The sequence below is a fragment of the Homo sapiens genome, chromosome 4 (assembly GCF_000001405.40).
Source record: "Homo sapiens chromosome 4, GRCh38.p14 Primary Assembly".
NCBI lineage: Eukaryota > Metazoa > Chordata > Mammalia > Primates > Hominidae > Homo > Homo sapiens.
This window is the reverse complement of record NC_000004.12, coordinates 114,578,347-114,604,316: the sequence shown is the minus strand read 5'-3', so window position 1 is coordinate 114,604,316 and position 25,970 is coordinate 114,578,347. Positions and strand designations below refer to the sequence as shown.

The 25,970-nt window shown below is 40.8% G+C and overlaps 1 protein-coding gene across 8 annotated transcripts in view, besides 1 other annotated feature; it reads right to left on the bottom strand.

Annotated features, from left to right (window-relative positions):
* Positions 1-5,915, bottom strand: part of UGT8 (UDP glycosyltransferase 8) — a 79,824-nt gene extending 73,909 nt beyond the window's left edge. For 2 of the 8 annotated variants that reach the window (XM_047416134.1, NM_001322113.2), the window contains exon 1: positions 5,260-5,915. The gene's annotated coding sequence lies outside the window, so the exon portion shown is untranslated. Of the gene's footprint in view, positions 1-4,441 lie in introns of all 8 variants that reach the window. The other 6 variants (XM_047416133.1, NM_001322114.2, NM_001322112.2 and 3 more) reach the window with 5 other exon arrangements.
* Positions 812-1,021: an enhancer, noted in NCBI's record as "active region_21840". NCBI's record gives its function as "activates an Ori minimal core promoter by ATAC-STARR-seq in GM12878 lymphoblastoid cells {active_cell/tissue: GM12878}" and the evidence as "EXISTENCE:reporter gene assay evidence [ECO:0000049][PMID:35858748]".
* Positions 5,916-25,970: the final 20,055 nt, after the last annotated feature.

Sequence of the window (25,970 nt, the reverse complement as noted above, 5' to 3'; positions counted from 1 at the left end):
AAATCATCTGTATTGTTTTCTGAGTTTATTTTCAGCTAATACTAAAATGTATAATCAATGTCCTTATAGATTATCTAAGGAACTAGAACACACTTAAAATACTAAGAGTACTTTAAACAAGACATTAGAAACCTGGAGGTTTAATTACCAGGTGCTTTTTAAACACAATGCATATGCCACCAGACCCTCCTGACTGGCGGAAGCATGGATTGTCCTGAGAAACCCAACATCTCTGCAACGCTCTTGAGGCAACTTCCACTCTCTCTTCAAGGACTTTTGTTCAGTTGGCTCCCTCTGCTCCCTTCAAAACTTTCAATGGCTGCTATTCTACTGGCCTCTAACCAAAAAAGTTAAAAGTATGATCAAATTTTCATCTTAAAAATATATTTTCAATCACTCTCTGTGAATTCTGAGAGCGAGTACTTGTGAAAGCAAAAATGACTACGGACCTTCTAATCACAAATCCAAGTCCTGGTTTCCATAAAACAGGTAGCATTTGTTAAACACAAAGGAGTAACCTCCCAGGCATTGTGCTTGATAGATTTTATCTCATCTGATCCTCACAGTAGCCCTATAAAGTAGGTGCTTCTCCCCTCATTTGCTAAATGAGGAAATGAAACTAAATTGTGAGCTCAAGGTCACAGAGCTATTCGGGGCTCGAGAGGGGGTGGGAACCGAGACTGTCTAACACCCCCTCATTTCAGTACCTGACCTTCTCACTTTCTGAAATTTTCTCAGTTTTCAGCTGCTTTTAAAAGTTACACCCTCCTAACTCTCCTCTTGCCTCTCTTGTTCTGTACCTTCTCGTTTTTCTTTATTGCTTCCTATTTCTCTACCCAACTCTTAAATTTTAGGATCTCCCCAGGCCTCTGTTTCCCTATTAACTTTTGGTACTTGCCCTGGAAAACCTATCAACTTTCACGGTTTATAATTACCTATACACTGAAAACTCCTAAATGTTTCTGTGTGTCTATCCATTTATCTACCTACCATTTATCTACCTGCCTATCTAGCCCAGGACCTCTGTGCTCAGAACTCACATACAATGATTCACTGGACACACATCTCCAGTTCGATTTTCTATAAGCACTTCAAGTTCTACATGTCTAAAACTGAACTCTATCACTCTTGCTCTCAAATCTGGATCTCCTTTTAAGTTCCCATCCCATCCTCCTATACCACCCACTCCCAATCCTCCAACCAAATTGGTCACCTAATCTTAGAGGTTCTACCACCTGAATATCGTTGTAACCAAACCCCTTTTTTTCATCCCACTGCCAACACTTTGGTACAAGGACCTCAACCTCTCTTACCAAAGCCACCCCAATATCTTCTAAACTACCATCCAAATCTCACATTCCTCAGATCCATCCTTCTAGATTGCTTGCTGTAAGAGCTGTTTTCTCATCACATAGCTCCTCTGTTTAAAACAACCTTAAACTGAAAATAGTCCATACTCCTGAGAATGGCAAACAGCCCTCCATGATCTTGCTCCTGCCTCCAGTGATTCATCTTTTATGTCACCCTCTAAGAAACCCTCAAATCTCCTGTCCCCACACAGAATTGACCACTTCCAAATTTCTGCTCAGGGTACTGTGTGTGTATCTCTATCACGGCACTTACAGAACAGCCAGCACTATACTGTAGATATTGAAAATAGCCTGTTTCCTCCTTGTCTCCCCCTTTTAAACCTAGAGCCCTCCCAGGGCCTTAATTGTATGCACATCCCCAGAGCACAGTGCTTGGCACACAGTATGCTTTTAACAAATATTTGTTGAATAAAAGAATGAATGTTTGTGAAATGCTTCAGATTAAGGAGATATGATTACCACTGTTTTCAAGATCAAATTAAACCATTTTAATCATATGTATTTGATTATGTACCTCCTCCATAAGTAGATTTGCAAAATAATATTTAAATAATTCATGTAGCCTCAAGTATGGTTAGCAGGATTCTCAAATCATACTTCTTATTCTGGACTTCCGGGGTAGAAAAATATTAACTACACTACATTATAGTTAGTAAGTTTCAATGGCAGAAAGTAATATGTAAAATATTCTAGTATACATATTCCTAAACAAAGACGATCTGGGCCTATCATAAGAAAGTAAACTTTTTTTTAAAGGCTGCTTCAGTTTCTCAGAAACACCAAGATATTCCAGAAGACTGAATTGTCTGAAATTAATACACCCTCCTAAAGATCTCATACACAAATTTTTTCTATAAAAGGTACATTAAAACCTTTTATATAGAGGTCACCCTTCTGGAAACCTAAACATTTCAGTTCACAGTCCAAACCACAAATAAAGCACGTAAACTGAAAGTGTCTGTCACAAAGTCTACAGGATTTACACTCGGGCAATAGCCCACATCATTTGATGGAAAAAAAGACAACAGATAATAGAGCAGCAGGGCCCACTCACAGTCTGACAGCAGCAGAAAGTGATAGCCAATAACAGAAAGAGGACCCAGAAAAAAAAAAAAAACATAAAAAGAAGAATGGTACTTCTGTCTCTATTCTAGTATTTCAACCCAGCAGGCTGAGACCATTTACTATAAACAAAAACAGCTCTATACACCTCAGCGAATAGCACTATTCAATTCTTTATGAATTCATAAAGACAACCCAACAAGAAAGAATAACTTATATCCAATATTCTCCAAGGGAACAAGGAAGACAGTAAGATTTAGAAATTGCTTGTGGGTTATAATGGCTCTTTTTTTTTAAGTTTCAGTAATAAACGGTGTGAAGAGTCAGCTACCGAGAAAATGTGCTTATGTAAATAAGTACCAATGCAGATGAGGTCAAATAAATGAGATACTATATCTTGCATAAATAATCAAAGTTCTCACTCTCCAAGGATATCTTAGAAATTCCCAGGTGTATGTTGGAAAATCCTAGTATGAATTAAAAAGCAACAAATTGATATTATTTGATAAACAGGTGCATGATTTTAAAAAGGATTTGAGGATTGAAGATGGGATTTTTAGCAATATTTAAATGGTAATGAAGCTGATAGTTGTTCATAAGGTGCAATAAAATGTTTTAATTTAAATTATTGGGAAATGTAAACTGTCAAAATCTTTAAACGAAAAGTAGTTTTTATCCAAAAAAATTGTCATAAGCATCTTTATTTACTGCATTGGTTTATTTATTCTAAGACGCGTACCAAGCTTAAATACAACAAGCATAGTCCTCTGGAAATCTTAGATTTAAAAAGAGTTTGAACCTGTATAGTAGTATTACCTGGAAAAAGTCAGAAGTATAGTTTCTGTTCAGTTATGCCCAACCTCCTAATAGAGTATCAAGCCTTTACTAAATATCGGGGCACTATGCTTTATTGTAGTTTTTAAAGACTTGTATAATACTAAGTCACACAACACTAGATGTCAACTTAACCTTGTAGGTGGCAGGCAAATCATACAATACTAGAGTGTTTTTCTCTGGCATTATCTAGAAGAGTTGCTGAACACAGACACATTCCTAAAGCAAAACCTCAAACCACCAAGAGACAGTTTCTATAGGAGAAAACTAAGCTGGCTAAGATTTAATTCAAGTAACACAAAGTTCTGGTCTCCTTTACCATATAATATTAAGATGCATGACTCTAATTTTAAAATCTCCTGGGGACAAAGTATGGTTACTCTTAACACTATTAAAATATTGGTTAAAGATAACCATTGGGTACTGGGCTTAATAACTGAGTGATGAAATAATATGTAAAACAAACCCCTGTGACATGTGTTTACCTATGTAACAACCCTTCACATGTACCCCAAAACCTAAAATAAAAGTTTTTAAAAAAGAAAAGAAAAAAGGGCACTTTCTATCCTTCCTTCAAATGGTGGTGATTTTTTTCTGGGGATATGTCAGAAGCACGCCAATTTTGAGTGAATATAGACGTTTTTGAACATGAAATTATCAGAAATGATAACAATTTGGCATCTAGCCAAACTCCCTAACATTCACGTCATTGATACTGAAAAACTGGTAGTACAAGGTGACAGCCTGAGGGGACTGAAGATTTTTGGAGTATTTGGAGTAGTGTGGTTTTTTTCTAATTTTTACCAATAGGATCCCCAGAAATAAAAGACTCTATCGTCACTGCTAACACTGGCTCATAATAAAGGTGATTCTCCAGAGCACGCCTGGTTTGATACCGCCACCCACTCCTTCCCTTGGCGACATTTTCCTGCTAAGAACGCCTAGTTAGCGCAATCCAGCCATTCGCGTTAGTTCTCAGAACTCTCTCAGAAGTTCTCTACCTTCTCTCCTCTCCCCGCCTAGATGCTGAAAGGTGATGGGAACTCGCGGTACAGGTACAGAGGCTATTCCTTTCCTAAGGAAGTGCTGCACAATGGCAGGTTTACCGTACTCAATTTTATAAACCCTCAATTAAACCAGAAAGCTTGTATATAGAGATTGGGTACCCCGCCCACCTCCTCAGATTGTCCTTTTGCCCCGACGCACTGCATCTACTTGCACTCTCCGATGCGGTTTGCCTCCTTCAAATCCAAAACACACATACCAGGCTCCCTCGCCGCTCCTCCAGTCCATGGAAGGCGCCCTTCTTTTTGCCAGCAGCGCGTCCTTCTCTCCCCGCCCGCAGGCGCTCACCTCTTCTCTAATCCCGGGGGCCCGCACAGGCTTCTCTAATGCAAGGGCACCCCGTACCATTCCCAAATCGGCGCGGGGACCCGTGAAACCCTGCCACCACTGTACACTGTCCATTGTCGAGAGTCGCGCGGGCACGCGGAAACGGCGGGCCCCGAAAAGTCTCAGCGAGCTTGTACAGCCCCAAGACATTCCCCACCCCCAACACATCCCGCTCTTGTTCCTCCTTAGGGGGAAGACGGAGTAAAGGGGAGTTGAAGAGGTCCCGAAGCTCCTCCTGGTCCCCCACCTCCATCCCTGCCCTGGCAGCTGGCTCTGGCCTCTGGGCTCCGCGGTGCCCATCCCTTCAGGGGTCAAGTACAAGGTCCTCGGCCGAATCGCCTCCCCGTTATACCCTCCCTCTGCCTTGAGCGCACAAACGCGAGAGAACCCTCGAACGGATGCCATATGGCAGAAACAGGATCGCGGGCGCTATGAGGGGCCAGCCTAAAAAGATCTCCTTCACACCCCCTCAACCCCTAGCCTTTCTCCCTACCCCGCCAACCCCCACTAACCACTTCTAACTTCCTCAGCCCAACCCTGTCTGTGCTTTCTAATTCCCACCCCCCCGCCCCTGGACAGCAGCCATTCGCCCGGCACTCACCTCAGGGAGCAAACAACGCCCCTCTCCTCCACCCAGACCGCCCCCCCTTCCGCCCTCTGGAACGGCGTGGTCCCTCCGCTCACCTCGTCTCTTGGCTGCCCCGCGCGAGTTTGAGTGTGTGTCTGCCGCGTAATTGTATCCGGGACAGAAGGGACCTGTGTTTGTGCGCTGAATCAGGTGTCGCCGCCTTCGGTGGTTCGGGGGCGTAAGGGAGGCTTCGGAGTTAGCGTGTTGGCTAAGGAGGGCTCTCTGGGTTCACAGTTGATAGCAATGCTTTAACCGTGTCCTCCCTCGGGTCCTCAGCGCGCCTGCTCGTCCGCAGCTCCCAGCGGGCGGCCAGGCCCCCCGCCCCCCAGCCGCGCCCCGCCCTGCGTGCGGCGAGCAGAGTCGGAGCGCGCCGCTGCCCTTCCGCACTTGGCTCAGCGGGGCACGACACGGGCCGCCACGCGCTCAGCCTAGCATCACTCGCCTCTGACTGCGAGCGCCTCCAGCTCCCCGGGCTGGGGCATGGATGCAGACGCGCCTTCGTACCACGCGCTCGCAGGCTGGGCAAGGGGCAGCGCGTTGGGATCCGGCCAGTCGTCCGCTGAGCGAGGTTGGCTTGCAGGCTGGGACTTTTCGCGAGCCCTCTGGGCGCTCGAGTTGCGAACTCTGACAACGGCACGTGGCCCCGCCCACTCTTCCCTCTTTGCGAGGCGTGTCCCGCGCCCTTTCTGCCACCACCCACGTAGTCCCTGTGCCCGCCTTTTATCATCAAGGCGGCTCAGTGAGCTCTGCGTGTTGATGTCGCGCCTTTTCTCATCTTCCTGCCTTTCCTGCCTCACTTCTGCTGAATCCATTCAAAAGTTATACTTGGGCAAGTGGGTGGAGGAGTTAGGAAAATTAAAAGAGGGATGCTTAGGTGAGCAGGTACCTGCACTGCCGCCAACCCAGGCTTCAATTCTGGCTCTCTTGTAGCGGAAAGCCTTAAAAAACGCGAGTTTGGGGATCCTGAAAAAAAGTAAATAGGGTTGCTGGGCTGAATAACATCCCTCCTCTCAGGCTCCTGCTGAAAGGGCCATTCATGATTTGCCTGGTTGAGCCTGTGGCGACTTTATTCTGACGAATCTGCCTTTGCCAGCAGCATAACCTTGCCAAGTTGGCGTCTTGACCAGCAAGCAACTGTGCCCAAGGAAGCCTCTCTGTGGTGCCTCAGACCTGAGAGGCCGAGTGCCTTTGAGCGCCTGAGGTAGATTGTGAGTTTCATGAAAACCGAGAAAGTCTAAGTGTGCATGTGCGTAAGATATTTTATATATATATATCTCATATATATATGAGATATGTCTATATAACGTGGACTGAATTGTTTATTGTTTATGTTTCGTGTCGAGCATAAATTCCAGAAGCTAAGATGCTTCCATAGCACACAAACGTTATGCGTTTAAACGTTGGAAATCAAAAATGCCATGTCAGGTCATTCTGTCCTTGTTCCAAAGTGAGATTCAGAAATAGGTTGGGATTTTCTGCCCTTAGATAAGAAAACGGAAATTATATTTTACTGTATATGTTATCAGTTAATGATAAATTAAAAAACTAATATACACTGCTGTTATTGTAAAATCCATATGCTCAAGAATGTTCATGGATGGAGAGATCTTCAAATGCCATTTCAAAAAAGAAAATGCACTTTTCTTCTTTGCAGATTAGGAATTTGAACATATTCCCTGTGCAAAATGCAGGGAATATTTTCACAGCCTTTGTACCTGATTACCATACTCTCTATTTATTTCTTATTTAAATTGCACTAGAAAACCTAAAGTAAATGAAATGTAACATAATAAAGAAAAGAGAATTTAGACATTTACTTTAAAAGCTTTATTTCTCAAAGGTCAAGCTTCAGTTTCAAGCTACTGTTTGATGATGCATATGTAAATTCTTGGTAAAAACTTGATCATTAGCAATTAAAACAACTTTTTTCTTTTATTATATAAAAATGTTTAAAATTGTTTCACCACATCCTTGTCCTTAAAATGGTGTAAACTGACCATTGTGTAAGGTTTTTGTCAGATTTTTGGATAGAAAAGGAGTATATATTATGTGTAGATATGTCCATGTTTATTGTTTCTCTAATCTATCTATTTTTGTCCACATTAAATACTGATTATTGAATTTCTCACAGCTCTACACAGTAAGGGTGTTCCATAATGTAAAACAAGTTTATTCAATCATCATATGAATAGTTGAAATACACTTTTGGAGTTTGAAATGATAAAAGCAAGAAATCAGTGAGGTTCATTTCACCGCCCCACCCCACTTTTCCTTTTTTTAATGCTCCCACCTTTAATTGTTAACATTATTGGCTAAGTGGTTGAATAAATGAATAATGAAAACATTTGCTACTTCTCTTTAAGGAAGGATGCATATTTTCCATATTTAATGTATCCTTCAAGCTCCCATTCAGATTAAACAAGATTCTCCCTATCATCTTTAGTTTATAGAATGTTGAATGGGACAGCATAGCCTGCAGTGAGAAAGTTTCAGCCAATGTGGAGTATGGTATTAAAATTCCCTCATTATTTCTGTGGACTATATATATCAGTATTCTCAATTGTTATTTTTTTCAGAAATACTTGTTATAATTATTCACCCCATATAACTTTATTGGAAAATATAAACAACCATATGTGAGATATTATATAAGTTTTGTAATCATTCACCATTAACTCTGGGATCAGACTTCCTAGAATTTGAAGAAGAAATTAATGAAATCAAACGTAACTTAATAGTAGTAGTAATAGAAATTTTAAAATCCTCTTAAAGTTTCTGCAAAGTGTGATCCCTGCCCCCTTACACTCAAGTTAAAGGAGAATGTTAACAGCCTGTCCTGTCTCTGTGGACAGTGGACCTTATCTATACTCCCCAACTCCAAATTACTCAAGTTTATTACAGGCCAGCAAGCTCCTGCACAGCTGCAGTCACAAGACCAATAAGTTTAGGTTGCAAGACATGTTTTTCTCAAGATGTAAGAAATGTTGTAATGCTTGATTAACTGCCTTTGTTTCTCGCTTCTGTAACTTGCTTCCCACCTCATGTAGTTCCTGCCTTAAAATGTTTAAAAGTAGGAAAAGCCCTTAGTTTGGGGCTCATACTTTCTGGACATATGTCCGGCTGGGCCGGTGATCACCTTAATAGACTCTCCTGAACCTTTTTCAGTCTCTCCAGTCTTTGATTGTCTTGTAACATTTCTGGGGGCTCATCCGGGATTGGAGAGGGAACATTTTCTGTCTCCTTTGCCTGTGGGCTACAGCCCCAGGACATGGGAGATCTGGGGTCCTTGGCACCACCAGGAGAGTTTCAGCCCAGAAGGAGAACTGCCCTCCCGCGTTCTGGGGCCTTCCCCCGACAGCACAAATGGAACCAGTGGAAGGGGTTGCAGGATGGTCACGGGAGCAGCGCACAGCCATCTGAACCACGGTAAAGTTTGGGCCCTAAGGCAAGACCCGTCCCATAAGGACGGAAGGGGAGCCTGATCATCTCCCAGGGCATGATGACTGATCTGACCCGAGGGGGTTGGGACAATGGGAGAGGCCCATTGATTCAGACAAAACTCACGCCCTAACCGACACCAGATGCAGGTGGGGCTCGCACGTCAGTCAGAAAGGAAAACAGTTTCAGGGACGGGGGAGGTGTGTGAGACAGTCTCAGGAGAGACCAATGCGGGGTGTGACATGGGGAGGCACAGATCTCTTAGCATGCACTGTGTGCTCTGAGGCGAGTGTGGGAAAAACCAGACCTAGAACACTGCATACAGCCCATAGGACCAGCTGTATGGCTGCAGCTAGCTGTAACAGGAATTAAGGTACTCTCCTGGCTAAGCAGCATCCACCATGGCTGCAGCTAGCTGTAACAGGAATGAAGGCACTCTCCTGGCTAAGCAGCATCCGAACCTCCCATAATAGGACCTGGTCTGGTGGATCCAAGAGTGAAAGTGACAGTGAAAGCATGCCGTGAGGGAAGAAATGGGAGGAAAAGCATCAAAGCCTACTCCACTGGAGTGCATGCTGAAAAACTTTTACAAAAGGTTTAAATGGTGATTAAATGGTTAAGCTAACTCCACAGAAACTGAGAACCTTTTGTGAGATAAACCGGCTGTCTTTTAATGTAGGGTGGCTGGCCGAGGGGACAATACACAAGGAGATAATTGGCCAAGTGTTTCAGGTGGTCACTGGGCTTGGAGAATAGCCCAGGCACCCAGATCAGTTCCCGTATACAGACTCCCAGCTAAGTGTAATTCAGACCCGCCCTAAGTGGCTGCAGACCTGCTTTGAGACCTACCATAAGACTTTAATGGCTTGGACAAAACCAGGAACAATAGAAAGAGACTGCAAGTCATCAGAAAAAGAAAAAGAGTCACAGGAAAAGCAGAAAAAACCTGTCCTACAGGCCCCATCTGAAGAGTTAGAAACTCTACCCCCTATGCACCAATTTATCCATCCTTGGCAAGGCTTAGACAGGAGGCTGCCCTGGCTGCCTCTGGAGGCTCAGACTCAGAAGAAAGCATCCCTCAGGCAACACCACGCAGACAGAAGTCAGAGCCCTTACCTGAAAACCCAAGGGAGGAATTCCAGGGGGATGAGGTTGGCTATCTTAGGTCAGGTCATGCCCAAGCAATGCAGATGTCCCTCCGATAAACATGGGGACAAATTTATTTGAATGCACAGAATGAAGTCCAAGGGGGAGAATGGCTCTTCATTTATCAGCCCTTCTCTACTACTGATCTCTGAAATAGGAGACAACATACTCCCTCCTATACAGAAAAGCCTCAGGCTCTTATAGATTTAATGCAGCCCATTTTCCTAATGCACAATCCTACCTGGGTTGATTGCAAACAACTTCTTCTGTCATTATTTGATATGGAAGAGCACCAAAGAGTTATACAAGCTGCTCTCCAGTGGCTCGAGAACAATGAGCCTGCAGGCACAGGAGATATCAGGCAGTATGCACAACAAGCACTTCTGATAGAGGCTGTCCCAGGCTGGGACCCTAACCAGGCTCAAGGGCCACAAAGTTTGCAGTGGTATTGAGAGGCACTCCTAAATGGAATAAAGGCTGGAGGGAAAAAGGCCACCAATATCAGAAAGGTCTCAGAGGTCCACCAGAAGCCAGATGAAAGTCCCGGTGAATTTTACGAGAGGCTCTGCGAGGCTTATCGGCTTCATATGCCATTTGACCCTGAGGCTGCTGAAAAACAGTACATGGTAAATATGGCATTTGTAAGGCAGGCCCAGGGAAATATCAGGCATAAATTCCAGAAGTTAGAAGCTCCACAGGCGTGAGTGATACTCAGCTTACTAAAGTGGCTACAAAGGTGTACATTAACCGAGATCAGGAGGCAAAGAAGGAAGCTAATTGGAAGCTTAAGGAAAGGCAGATTTACTAGCAGCAGCCCTCACGGGAAGGGAAGCTGACTTTGCAAGGAGGCGTGGGTGCAGTCATGAAAGAGGCCAGTCTGGACAGGGATTTAAGAGCTGGCCAAGGCTAGAAAAAGATTAATGTGAATGGTGCAAAAGGAAAGGACACTGAAAGGATGAATGTCAAGAGAATAAGGAAAATGGTCAGGACCATGGTATAAGAAAGCCACTGGCCAAGGGCTACTGCACCCGGGAAAAACCCAAAACCTTCTGCACCTGCTGTGGAAGGCAGGATATAAAGTGTCAGGTAAAAAAGGCTCAAATCTGCTTTAAAAGTGTCCAGTATTTAGGCTTCTGTATAAGCCAAGGGAAAAGATGGCTCGGTGGTGAATGAAAGTAGGCTGTTTGTGCGTTTCCTACTCCAACCACCCGGTGCCAGATAAGAAAGTTCCTAGAGGCAGCAGGGTTCTTCGCATTTGGACCCTAAATTTCTTGCTCATGGCTAAGCCATTATATGAAGCCACAAAAAGGGGGAAAAGGAACCCCTCCTATGGGGAAAACAGCAGGACATGGCCTTCAAAGAAATCAAGAAGGCTTTGATCCAGGCCCCAGCATTAGGACTGCCAGACATGAAAAAGCCTTTTTACCTATATGTTCATGAAAGTTAAGGAATAGCTACAGGAGTCTTGGTACAAATACTAGGGTCATGGTATTGGCCCATGGCATATTAGTCCAAAGGGCTAGACTTGGTGGCTATGGGATGGCCACTGTGTTTCAAGGCATTGGCAGCCACTGTCCTGTTAGCAGAAGATGCTAACAAGCTCAAATTGGGACAAAGGTTGATAATTCGGGTTCCCCACACGGTCATCACCCTGATGGAGCAGAGTGGGCATCGCTGGCTTTCTAACCCTAGGATGTTAAGATATCAAGGGCTTTTGTGTGAAAACCCCTACATAACCTTGGAGATTGTGAATACTCTAAATCCAGCCACACTGCTGCCAATAGAATGGGTAGAGCATGGAAAGCCCATGTTGTGTGGCCCTGGGTATGACTGTTGTGTGGAAATACTGGATGAGGTTTTCTCAAGCCGAAAAGACATAAAGGACCAGCCCTTAAAAGACCCAGATGTCGAATACTTTACTGATGGGAGCAGCTTCATATCTGAAGGTGTCAGATGGGCTGGATATGCAGTGGTAACACTGAATTCAGTATCTGAAGCCCACCCTCTGCCAGTCGGAACTTTAGCCCAAATTGCTGAGCTAATAGCTCTCACTAGAGCGTTGCTCTTGGCAAAAGGAAAATCAGTAAACATCTATACTGACTCAAGGTATGCTTTTGCCACTTTGCATGCCCATGGAGCCATATATAAGGAAAGAGGGTTGTTAACTACTGAAGGAAAGAAAATAAAAAATTAAAAGGAAATAGAGCAGCTCTTAGAAGCCGTATGGGTTCCAAAAGAAGTAACAGTCATCTATTGCAAAGGGCATCAAACAGAAGGAGGTGATGAGGCTAGAGGAAACAGAAAGGTGGACAGAGAAGCCAAAAGAGCTGCAATGACAGAGGTAACTAAGAAGGAAAAGGAAACCCTTACTATGCCTTTACTGGAGCTTCCCCTTACAGAACCCCCTAACTATTCTGCTAATGAAAAGGCTTGGTTTGAGCAGAAGAATGGAATTTACCAGAAAGGAGGTTGGTGGAAGTTCTCAGATGGGAGGCTCGCCATCCCAGAAGCAATAGCACCCCCACCCCAGTTCATAAAGCAGTTTCATCAAGGAACGCATATGGAGAAAACTGCGTTAGAGACTCTTGTAGGATGGCATTTCTATGTGCCGCGTCTAATTGCCATCACTCGAACCATTTGTGAGCCACTGCAGGGGCCAACACAGCCCCCGGGGATTCAAAAAACTGAAGCTACACCTTGTGAAAACCTGCTTGTGGACTTTACCAAGCTGCCTCGAGTTGGAGGCTACCGGTACAGGAGGTTTGTCTGCACTTTCTCAGGGTGGGTCGAGTCATTTCCCACCGTGACAGAGAAAGCGCGGGAAGTAACCAGGATCTTACTAAAGGACATTATTCCTAGATTTGGACTGCCTCTAACTTTAGAATCAGACAATGGCCCAGCATTTATGGCAGAAAATAGTACAACAGTTAATGCAGATGTTAAAAATCAAATGGAAACTGCATACAGCTTATCACCCACAGAGTTCTGAAAAAGCTGAAAAAATGAACCAGACATTCAAACAGCTGTTAAAGAAGTTTTGCCAAGAAACTCATCTAAGGTGGGATCAGGTGCTCCCCATGGTCCTTCTCCGAGTCAGGTGCACCCCTACTAAATTAACTGGTATTCACGCTATGAGATAGTATTCAGCTGACCACCCGCAATCATAACTCAGATAAAAGGGGATTAGAGCAAGACACTGTCTCAAAAAAAAAAAAAAAAAAAAGAAAGAAAGAGATTGGGGGATTAACCTTAAGAAGGCAAATGCAAGCCTTAGGTGAGGCCATGCAGGAAATACAAGGGTGGGTAAGAAAAAGAATACCTGTTAGCCTCACAGATGCAGTACATCCCTTCCAACCTGAAGACTCTGTCTAGGTCAAATGATGAAACCCAACCACCTTAGGGCCTTTATGGGATGGCCCCCATATTGTGATCTTGTCTACCACCACTGCTGTTAAAGTTGCAGGTATCACACCTTGGGTTCATCATAGCCAGCTGAAACCAGCAGCAGCCACTGCCCAGAACCAGTGGACCAGTCAACAAAATCCAGACCACCCGACACTGGTGAAACCAAGCCACGGCTGACAAGGACAACTGCCCTGCTCTGATCACACTGGAAGCTGGTTGGTCCACGCACAACTGAAGCTTGAGAAAACATCAAGCCCTGCTCTAGTCACACAACCGGAAGCTGACTAGTCTACTCATGGCCGAAGCCTGAGGAAGTCAATGGTAGATAAGTAAATGTGGATTGAATTTACAAACAATAGTTATACTCCTACTTGTACTGATTTATTTTGCTGTCATGTTATCTTTGTAAATGCTGCCAAGCTTGTTGCCCAGAAGGGTGCCCATGCATAGTATAAGTTTAATCATATTAGTAATACTGAAGGCACTGACACTTTCACCTATGGTCATAAAAGGGGAGCAGGATGACTGTCATCACTGTATGATAGAAGACTGGTCCAGAAAAGGTGTGACTAAAACTCTGTTATACCAGACCTACTATGAGTGTACAGGGACTCATACAGGAACTTGTGTCTATAACCAGACTAGTTACTCAGTCTGTGATCCTGGAAACAGGCAGCACCAAGTATGTTATGACCCAGAGTTCTTGCCCTATGACTTCTGGTTTGAAGTCCAAATTGGCGAACCCGTAATGCCATCATACACAAACCCCACAGAAACCGGGGTCAGTAAACTTGTAAACAAAATGGAATTATTCCCTTACTCTCATAAAGGGCCTGTCTTCATACATTTTGATGCCTGCCAAGCTGCACATCTCAGTAAACTAAATAATATTGGGACCATCTGTAAAAATCTAGGACAAGAAAGAGTCAGCACAGAGCCACCAAGGCTGTAATAGGAGAGTCCAAAAAAGACTGCCATGATTGTGATAATCAGTGGACCACACATGAATTTAATCAGCACCTATACACAGGAAGGGTTGCTCTATTTGCCAGCCAAGAGGCAACTATAGGGTGCACAACTGGAACATGCAACCCACTCAATCTGACAATACTAAAGCCAAATATGCCTTTCTGGACTAAAGGGTATAAAGGGTTACTAATTTTTGATCGGGGGGAGCACTCCTAGGACTTGGTATTCCTCTAGTCATCACAAAGAAAACCCAAAGGACCCAAATTCAAGTTAGCCCGATACAACAGTTTAGATTTTATAAATCTTTCAGTGAACACTTTAATCCTGAAATATCAGAAATTCAAATTCCTCCTATATCAGCTGAAAATCTGCTTGCCCAGCTAGCCAAAAGTATTGCTAATAATTTACGAGTTACTTCATGTTATGTATGTGGAGATACTAATATGGGAGATCAATGGCCCTGGGATGCCAGAGAATTGATGCCACAAGACAATTTTACCTTGCCTGAATTTGTTACAAAATTCAGCAAATCCAAGTGTTTGGCTATTAAGGAACCCCATCATCGTAAAATACTGTATCACCCATTGGGGCAAGGCCTTTCAGAACCAGGTAGGGGAAACAACTTGCCTAGGTCAACAATATTTTGAAGAATTTGAGAACAGAACACAAGGGAGAAGCTTTATAGACAATTCCTCTGTGTCAGATTTTAATCGCTTTTTGCAGTTCCCAACACTAAATCAATCATGGTACCAATTAGATGCTCCAGCTGTTTAGAGAGAACCTGCAGGGTTATATTGCATCTGTGGAACAAAGGCTTATCAATTACTACCAGATAAATGGACAGGGGCATGTGTATTAGGAAAAATATAGCCATCCTTTTTCCTACTCCCACTGCAGCAAAGGGAAAATCCAAGCTATTTGGTCTATGATGAAGGCAGAAAAAGAGTCAGAAGACAAGTGTTTACAAAAATAAGTACTGTGGAAAAAATAAATACTAACATTAAAAAGGACACTGAAATGGGGAGCTGGAACAATAATAAATGGCCCCCTGAAAGAATTATCAAATACTGTGGACCAGCCACCTGGGCACAGGATGGGTCATGGGGATACCGTACTCCTATTTATATGTTAAACCACATCATAAGGTTGCCAGCAGTTCTGGAAATTATAGTCAATGAAACAGCCCGAGCCTTAGGCTTGCTAGCCATACAGGTGATCTAGATGAAAGATGCCATTTGTCAGAACAGGTTAGCACTGGATTATCTTTTAGCTTTAGGAGGAGTGTGTGGAAAACTTAATTTAACAAATTGCTGCTTACAAATTGATGACGATGGAAAAGGTACATTTGTGTCAAGCACCAAAAGGGGAGAATGAAGAAGGAATTAATGAAATCAACTATAAACTAATAGTAGTAGTAATAGATATTTTAAAATCCTCTTAAAGTTGCTGCAAAGTGTGACAACGCCCCCCCTTCCCCCGCCGGCCTTACACTCAAGTTAAAAGAGAATGTTAACAGCCTGTCTTGTCTCTGTGGACAGTGGACCTTATCTATACTCCCCAACTCCAAATACTTCAAGTTTATTACAGGCCAGTGAGCTCCTGCATGGCTGCAGGGTCACAAGACCATTAAGTTTAGGTTGCAAGACATGTCTTTCTCAAGATGTAAGAAATGTTGTAATGCTTGATTAACTGCCTTTGTTTCTCGCTTCTGTAACTTGCTTCCCGCCTCACATAGTTCCCGCCTTAAGATGTTTAAAAGTAGGAAAAGCCCTTAGTTTGGGGCTCATACTTTCTGGACATATGTCCGGCTGGGCTGGTGATCACCTTAATAGACTCTCCTGAACCTTTTTCGATCTCTCTGGTCTTTGATTGTCCCACAACAAATTGAACTTCTGCCTCACCATTTGTTAGATGTGTGATTTTTTGGCATGTTACCTAACTTTTCTGTGTTTTGATTTCTTTATCTGTGAAATGAATATAATAGTAGTGTCTATTTCATAAAGCAAGACATAGCTCCTGGCACCTAGTAGTGCTCAATACATGTTAACAGTATTCTCTATCTACAACTCTAACTGGTAATGGAGAAAATTATCCAGCTTTCTAAGTTTTGTTGGGGTTGTTATATTTATTGACAGATTTAATTGGGAATTTTTCTGTTACTGGAGGCAGCACAGCATAATGGAAAATGTCCTTTTTTAGCTTCCTTGCTACCTTTTTTGTGACTGCAGGACTGATTTTTCATACAGTGTTCTGACAAGACCAAGTTCTTCTAATACTTTGCCTTTTATTATAGTAAGTAACCTAGTATCTCTTTAAAACAGTTCTTACATTCATTTTATTCATCTCACTAGCTGTACTGCATTCATCCATCTAGCAAATGTTTGTTAAACACCCAATTTATGCTCAGTTTTAATAAACACTGTAGAGAATTTGCTCCCTTAACCCCCAACAAAAATTATTTTATTGATTCTGCCCTTAACAAGCTGGGGAAAGAAGTAACTTAAAAACATTTTGAAAAAAATGTAAGTATATAATCATACTGTATTTAAATGTAATCAACTGTCAAACACGTAATAAAAACAAGTAGTGAGAAAGAAGAGAAGGTGATTAATATTAGCTAGACTTGTTAGACAAAGGATATTGGGAAAGATTGTACTTGACGAGGGCATGAAGAACAGGTAGGTTTTTCAGTTCTTCAAGAACTAAAGGGTATTTTGTCTGAGAATAAAATAATGTATTAGTAATACTTGGACAATTTTATAAATCAAGTGAATAAACCTACCTTAAAATACATAATATTACAATTTTAAAAGTACTTTCTATATATTAAACTAGAAATATATTGCTTTGTTAAATTGTACTTTTCATACTGTTTCAATCCAAATGAATAAACAGTTGAGCACTATAGGTGTAGGCCCTGTTAGATAGTCCAGCCACAAATATGAATGTGTCATGATCCTCTGATCCTCAAGGAACTCAGAATTGTGGGAAATAAGGGTAAATATATTACACATGTAAAAATAGAAGATGATGAAAGCATGGAAGTAATACAGAGGAAGTACGATAATTGTGTGAGAAAGTTTCAGAAGACTTCACAAATAATTGACATTTGAACAGTGTTTTAAAGGATGAATAAAAGTTCTATAAGTCAAAAAAAGAAGGAAAATTCAATTAGAGGGAATAATTTAGTTATTACATTTCACACTTTAATGAACTTCATCCATTTTTGTCCATAGTTACCTTAATATATTTTGACTCAAACATTTTCTGATAAAATTACTACATTGATTCTTTTTCTCATTTTCAAGTAGAAATAGTAGAGACATTACCCACTGACAAAATAATATATGAATGAAAGAGTAGACCGTAATATTGATAGATACATGTATTATAATACATGTATACATCTTTTTGCGGAAGAAGAATGTGGAAATGGGAATAGGTTTTGTTTTGGTTGGTTGGTTTTTTCCAATTTTTATTTTAGATTCAGGAGGTAGGTACATGTGCAGTTTTCTTACTTGGTTATATTGTGTGATGCTGAGGTTTACAGTATGATGATGTTGGTAGTTTGATAGGAATAGCATTGAATCTGTAAATTTCTTTAGGTAGTATGGCCATTTTAATGGTATCAGTTCTTCCAATCCATGAGCATGGAATGTTTATCCATTTGTTTGTGTCATCTATAATTTCTTTTAGCAGTGCTGTGTAGTTCTCTTTTCACCTCCTTGGTTAGATGTATTCCAGATATTTTATTTTGTGTGTGTGTGTCTATTGTATGTAGGATTGCATTATTGGTTTGGCTCTAAGCTTGAATGTCATTGGTGTAGAGACATGCTACTGATTTTTGTACAGTGATTTTTTATCCTGAAAATTTATCCTGACTGAAGTCAGGAATAGGTTTAAAATGAAGACTTTTTGAAAAAGAATACTAGAGAAAAAAGAGTGTGCTCAAAGCTCTACATGAGTTTTAGGCATTTTATAGTAAATGCAACATGGTTTAAAAAGTTTTTGTGTGTTCAGATATTAAACTACTTGCAAGAATATACTTTTGTAATGTCATGATTAATGAATACTTTAAAAGTAATATACAAATTTTCCTTTAATACTTTCAAGAATGATACCTCCTAAAATAAATTATTAATGGTACACTTTTACATCAAGTGACCCTGTAATGTAGACCATGTAAAGTAGAATAGAGCAGAATGGATTTAAATTCAATCATAGAGAGAAATATGGGTGGCTGTACATTCCAACACCCCTTTGCTAACAGATCCAAGTATTTGAATATATTGTGATGGGGCACCTTATAACTCTGACAACATCACTGACTTCACAAACCGGCTCTTCTCTTTGAGCTCTTTAAATGTGATTGTCTATTTTGGAGACCTGAGGAACATAGAGCATCTAAATGTACACAAAGATTCATTAGGTCTAATTTGATGCTGCTCTCCATAATAATAATGATAAAAATTATGGCTTCTGCATTGAATCCTAAGTAGTGTTTTCCAGGTGCAATTACTGTGTAATTTTAATTATAAAAATCCTTGAGGTAGGTACTGTTATTATCCCTGCTTGAGGTAGAGTAGCAGAGAGTTTAGGAATAAAACTTATCTAAGGTCACTGCTGGAAAGTTGCAAAACTGAGAACTGAATTGAGGTCTGTTTGAGTCAATGATCATGCCCTGAACTCTGCAGGCCATTAAGACTGGATCTCACAGCACAGTTTAAATCTTGATGGGAGGAAAGGTTGAAGAGCATGACTCCAACCTGGCCATTTGAGAAACCCTACAAATTCGAGAAGCACATAATCCCAGATTGCCTTGTTATGTCTCCTTTTTTACCCCAGAACAACTGCTTTATAAATAAGTCATGGTCCAAAAATGTCCATGATAATTGGGCCTTAATTTCCTATATATCCAGTTTTAATATTGTGCCATTTTTTGTTTTAATTCCCATTTCCTGCAGATTCTGGCTTGCTATATTTATAAGAACACTAAACCTGATAGTAAACAGAATGAAGATCATGCACAAAGTCCATATGATAACAAAATATACCATCACATCTTCACCTTCTCTTTTTGCTCTTTCATTCTTTCTTTCCCATCATCTCTTATTTTCTTCCAAACTCTAGTTTCTTGCTTTCAGTTTTAACTATATACTTCAAATGTATAAACCATACACCACAGCACATTTTTATATGTGTTGATTAATTTATGTCATTTCTAATAATTTATTATATTTTGTTAGGCATTAGAGACTACATTAGATAATGTTGATGCATGGATCAAATTTTATAGAGAAGGATCAGAGAAGCAAAAAGGGATTTCTAGATCTTTGAAAATGATAGAGATAGCTGTATTGCCTGACAACTTCTAGACTCTCATTAAATATTTTATAAACAGTCTAAAGGACTATCCCATAAAGGATCAAACCAAAAATGCTCATATTTTTAATAATTTTAATTACATGATTATAGACATCAGGTAGACATAGAGACATCTATATGTCCTTCTAAAGCAATATGTATTTTCATGATTAGAAAATAGCATCAATGAAACTCTACTCTCTAATCTAATACCTAGTAGTTGAATCTTTTTAAACAATTTCAAAAACTTCATGATGAACTCTGGTGAGTTGTAGAAAATCTATGGAAATAGAAAATCTATCTTATATAACCCTTAAACCTTTCAGGACTGGAAAATTTGCTATACTGGATTGTTAGATAGCCTATATTGAGTCTCTGATAATTCAAGACCAATCAAGATTTTAGAGGAGAATACTGCATGAGGTCAAAGTTAAGGCTATACCCAAAACACAGCTTTCTTCTCATTCATTTTGTGGGTGTTACTTATTATTATAGCCTCTCTGGGTTTGGGCTATAATACCTCCTGAGAATAAAGAGCTTCATAATATAATACCTTAGTGTCACCGTAATTTATTTTATTTTATGTAAATAAATTGCAAGCTCCAGGAAATACCAAGTAGTTCTAATATTGCAGCACTAGGTGAATGAGGTCACAATATCCTCTTTTTATTTTATAGATGCTAATCTTCACCCAGATCTTCTTTCAATTGTCAACTTCTATGGCAGCTCTCAGTTCCATTAAGCATAATTCAAAAATATCAAAACTTTCTGACCTATATCATATCCCCCCAGTACCATGGTTTCTGTGCTTCCCAAAACAAACAGTTTCTCACATAGTCAGCTTACCCTTTTTTTGTTTGTTCCATGAGAGAGTTTTGCTCTGTCACCCAGTCTGGAGTGCAGTGGCATGATCTCGGCTCACTGCAACCTCCACCTCCTGGATTCAAGCAATTTTTCTGCCTCAGCCTCTCGTGTACTGGGATTGCAGGCGCCCACCACCGCGCCTAGCTAATTTTTGTATTTTTAGTAGAGACAGGATTTCACCATGTTGGCCAGGCTGATCTCAAATTCCTGACCTCATGATCCACCTGCCGCAGCCTCACAAAGGCTGGGATTACAGGCATTAGCCACTGCGCCTGACCTAGTCAACCTAGTCTTATTGGAAACTTCTGTGGTTTGAATGTGTCCCCCAAAAGTTCATGTGTTCAAAACCTAATCCACAGTGCAACAGTGTTAAGAGGTGAGGCCTAATAGGAGGTGATTGAGTCATGAGGGCAGAACTTTTATGGATGGATTAATGTTGTTGTCTCAGGAGTGGGGGAGTTATAAAGTGATTTTGGCTCCTGGTGTCTCTTTAGCATGTACTCACTTGCCCTTTTATCCTTCTGCCATGAGATAATGAAGCAAGGAGCCCTTCATCTGATGCAGCTTCCCAATCTTAGACTTCTCATCTTCCAGAACTTTGAGCTAAGTAAATGTCTCTTCTTTCTAAATTACCCAGTCTTTGGTATTCTGTTATAGCAACAGAAAATGGACTAAGGAAGGTTACAGAAGACTTCAAAATCCACTATTATTTTTAGGGCAATACCCTCTGCTTTTTAACATAAAAACCACTTGTATTAGTTTTAAGAAAGAAGTAAGGGGCTTGCCCTGGCAAATCGGTATAAGCAATATTTTGTGTCCATGATTTCACTTGGTTATCTTAAAATAATGATGCTTAAGTAGTGACTTTCTCAGGTCAGGCTTTAGCTCCCAGATGAAACTACTAAGTATATGTTTGTTTGTACATGTCAGTCCCAAGCCTGACCCTCCCTTGGTCCGCAAAGAAAGTAGTTTCTGTATCCATGAGAAAAAATAAGCACTAAGGACTTTGCCCCTAGTGTTCAGACTTATTATGTTACCTGTGTGTATTTTACTTTATGATTGGAATCTCATTGTGAGTATCTCCATTGCCTTGTTTCTCATTCATTGCCTCCCTTAGTTTCTGTAATAAAGGACTATGGCATAGTAAACAAACTGTCTAAAGGAATATTCCACATAAAAGGGCAAGCTAGGTAGAAAAAGCCTGGCCAGTTATAGCATATTTCTGTTACATAAGGACATCAGTTTGCATATGTTTTTCCAAGGTGTAATCAGAATTTGAAGTTCTTACTGTAAACCAGATACAGACTACTTTTACAAATTGGTTTTTTAAATGTGATGGCTACAGACTGTCCATCCTAAGCTGATTGCACTGAGTGATTGCTGACCTGCATCTTTCTAGGGTAAAGCCCCCAGGGGACAAGCAAAAGACCCTTGGTCACAGCCACTTCTAAGGTCCTTTCCTCTGCTGCCTCCAAGTTGAGGAAGGAACATATACCCTGAAATTGTTCTAGAGCTACAGCAGGCTGCCCAAGAGTTCCAAGCCACAATCTCCAGCCAGCAGTCAAAGGGGACAGGAGCCCACAATTTCAGAGCATTGAGTGGGCACACAGCTGCAACTATGAGGAAAGAAAGGAGAGCCACACAACCAAGCAAGAGTCTACCAAGAGACCAGTATACCTAAGCACCTCCTACTGGATCACATCCCAAAGCTTCAACTACAAATATACCTTGCTAACATATCCCACTGTGAAACCAAAGACAACAAGTCAGTGAGAGTCAAATAAAGACTCTGCAAAAAGCACTGGCCCTGTGAAAACATCCGTAAAAGAAGTCTCTTGACTGTACTCAATCTATGCCTCCTTAAAGGAACACTCACATACAGAGGTGAGAAAGAACCAATGCAAGAACTCTAGTAATGCAAATGGCCAGAGTGTGGTGTCGCCTCCAAGCAACTGCACCAGTTCTCCAACAAGAGTTTTTTTTTTTTTTTTTTAGACAGAGTCTTGCTCTGTCGCCCAGGCTGGAGCACAATGGCACCATCTCAATCTCGGCTCACTGCAAGCTCTACCTCCCAGGTTCATGCCATTCTCCTGCCTCAGCCTCCCATGTAGCTGGGACCACAGGTGCCCGCCACCACGCCCGGCTAATTTTTTGTATTTTTTAGTAGAGACGGGATTCACCATGTTAGCCAGGATGGTCTTCATCTCCTGACCTCATGATCCGCCCGCCTCAGCCTCCCAAAGTGCTGGAATTACAGGCGTGAGCCACTGTGCCCGGCCAAGAGTTCTTAACTAGGCTGAGCTGGCTGAAATTACAAAAATAGAATTCAGAATATGGATAGAAATGAAGATCAAAATTTGGGAGAACAGCAAAACTCAATCCAAGGAAACTAAGAATCATAGTAAAATGATACAGGAACTGAAGGACAAAATAGCTGATATAAAAAAGAACCTAATGAATCTGACAAGGCTGAAAAACACAATAAAAGTATTTCACAATGCAATCAGAAGTATTAACAACAGAATAGACCAAGCTGAGGAAAGAATCTCAGAATGTGAAGACTGGCTCTCTGAAATAAGACACTCAGACAAAAACAAAGAAAAAAGAATGAAGAGGAATGAGCAAAACCTCTGAGAAGTATGGGATTATATAAACAGGCCAAATCTATGAATCACTGGCATTGTTGAAAGGGAAGGGAGAAAGCAGACAACTTGCAAAACATATTTCAGGATATTGTCTATCAAAAATTTTCCAAACTTGCTAGAGAAGCCAACAGTCAAATTCAGGAAATACAGAGAATCCCTGCAAGATTCTACACAAGATTATCCCCAATACATGTAATCATCAGATTTTCCAAGGTTGAAATGAAAGAAAGAATGTTAAAGGCAGCTACAGAAAAATGACAGGTCACTTACAAAGGGAACCCCATTAGGCTAACAGTTGGCCTCTCAGCTGAGATCCTACAAGCCAGAAAAGATTGGGGACCTACATTCAACATTCTTAAAGAAAAACAGATATTTCATATCCAGGTAAACTAAGCTTCCTAAGTGATGGAGAAATAAGATCCTTTTCAGGTAAGCAAACGTTCTAGGAGTTTGTTACCACCAGACCTGCCTTACAAGAGATTTTGAAAGGGACACTAAATACAGAAAGGAAAGACCACCACCAGCAAATACAAAAACATACTTAAATACACAGACCAGTGACACTATAAAGCAACCACACAAGCAAGGCAGAATAACCAGGTAACAACACAGTGATAGGATTGAATCTACACATGTCTACACTAAGCTTGAATGTACATGGTCTAAATGCCCCCAGTTAAAAGGCACAAGAGTGGCAAGCTGGGTAAAAAAGCAAGACCCAATGGTACACTGTCTTCAAGAGATCCATCTCATGTGTAATGACACCCATAGACTCAAAGTAAAGTGATGGAGGGAAATCTACCAAGCAAATTGAAAACAGAAAAAAAGCAGGAGTTGCAATCCTAATTTCAGACAAAACAGAGTTTAAATGAACAAAGATCAAGAAAGGCATTACATAATGATAAAGGGATTAATTCAACAAGAAGACCTAACTATCCTAAATATATATGCACCTAACACAGGAGCAGCTAGATTCATAAAGGAAGTTCTTAGAGATCTACAAAGAGATATAGACTACCACATAATAATAATGACAGACTTAAAAACTCCAGTGACAGTATTAGACAGATCATTAAGCCAGAAAATTAACAAATATATTCAGAACCTGAACTCAGCCTTGGACCAAATGGATCTGATAGACCTGTACAGAACTCTCCACCAAACAACAACAGAATGCACATTCTTCTCATTGCCTCATGGCACATACTCTAAAATCTACCACATAATTGGATGTAAAACAATCCTCAGCAAATGCAAAGGAACACCAAACACATTCTCGGACCACAGCAGAATAAAAGTAGAAGTCAAGACTAGGAAAATTGCTCAAAACCATGCAATTACATGGAAATTTAACAATATGCCCCTGAATAACTTTAGGATAAATAATGAAATTAAGGCAGAAATCAAGAAGTTCTTTGAAACTAATGAGACTAAAGATCCAACATACCAAAATCTACAGGATACAGCTAAAGTAGTGCTAAGAGGGAAATTCATAGCTCTAAATGCCCAAACAGTTAGAAAGATCTTGAATTAACAACCTAACATCACAACTGAAAGAATTAGAGAAGCAAGAACATATCAACCCCAAATCTAGCAGAAGACAAGAAATAACCAAAATCAGAGATAAACTGATGGAAAATTAGACATGAAAAACCATTTTGAAGATCAACAAATCCAGGAGTTGGTTTTCTGAAAAAAAAATAATAAGATAGGCTGCTAGCTAGACTAATGAAGAAGAGAGAAGATCCAAACAAACAGAATTAGAAATGATGAAGGGGATGTTAATACTGACCCCATGGAAATAAAAATAACCATCAGAAACTACTGTAAACACCTATATGCACACAAAATAGAAAACCTAGAAGAGGTGGATAAATTCCTGGACACATAAACCCTCCCAAGACTGATCCAGGAAAAAATGGATTCCCAGAACAGAACAATAATGAGCTCCATAATTGAATCAATAATAAATAGCTTACCAACCAAAAGAAGCCCAGGACCAGAAGGATTCATAACCAAATTCTTCCAGACATACAAATAAGAGCTGGTACAATTTCTACTGAAACTATTCCAAAAAATTGAGGAGGAGGGACTCTTGAGTAGGTTTATTCTATGAGATCAGTCTCATCCTGATACCAAAACCTGGCAGAGACCCAGCAAAAAAAGAAAACTTTGTGCCAGTATCTTTGATGAACACTGATGCAAAAATTCTCAACAAAATATTCTCAAACCAAATCCAGCAGCACATCAAAAAGCTCATTCACCACGATCAACTTGGTTTCATTCCCAAGATGCAAGGTTGGTTCAACATATGCAAATCAATAAATGTGATTCTTCATATAAACAGAACTAAAGACAAAAACCACATGATTATAGATGCGGAAAGGCTTTTGACAAAATTCACAATTTCTTCATGTTAAAAACTCTCAATAAACTAGGTATTGAAGGAGCATACCTCAAAATAATAAGAGCCATTTATGACAAACCCAAAGTCAACATCATACTGAATGGGCAAAAGCTGGAAGCATTCCCCTTGAAAACTGGCACAAGACAAGAATGCCCTCCCCTACCACTTCTATTCAAGATAGTATTGGAAGTGTTGACCAGAGCAATCAGTCAAGACAAAGAAATGAAGGGAAGCTGAATAGGAAGGGAAGAAATCAAACCATCCCTGTTTGTAAGTGACACAATTCTATATCTAGAAAACCCCATAGTATTGGTCCAAAAGCTCCTTCAAGCAATAAACAACTTCAAAAAAGTTTTAGAATACAAAATCAATCTACAAAAATCACTAGCACTCCTGTACACCAACAACAGCCAACCTGAGAGCCAAATCAGAAAGGCATTACCATT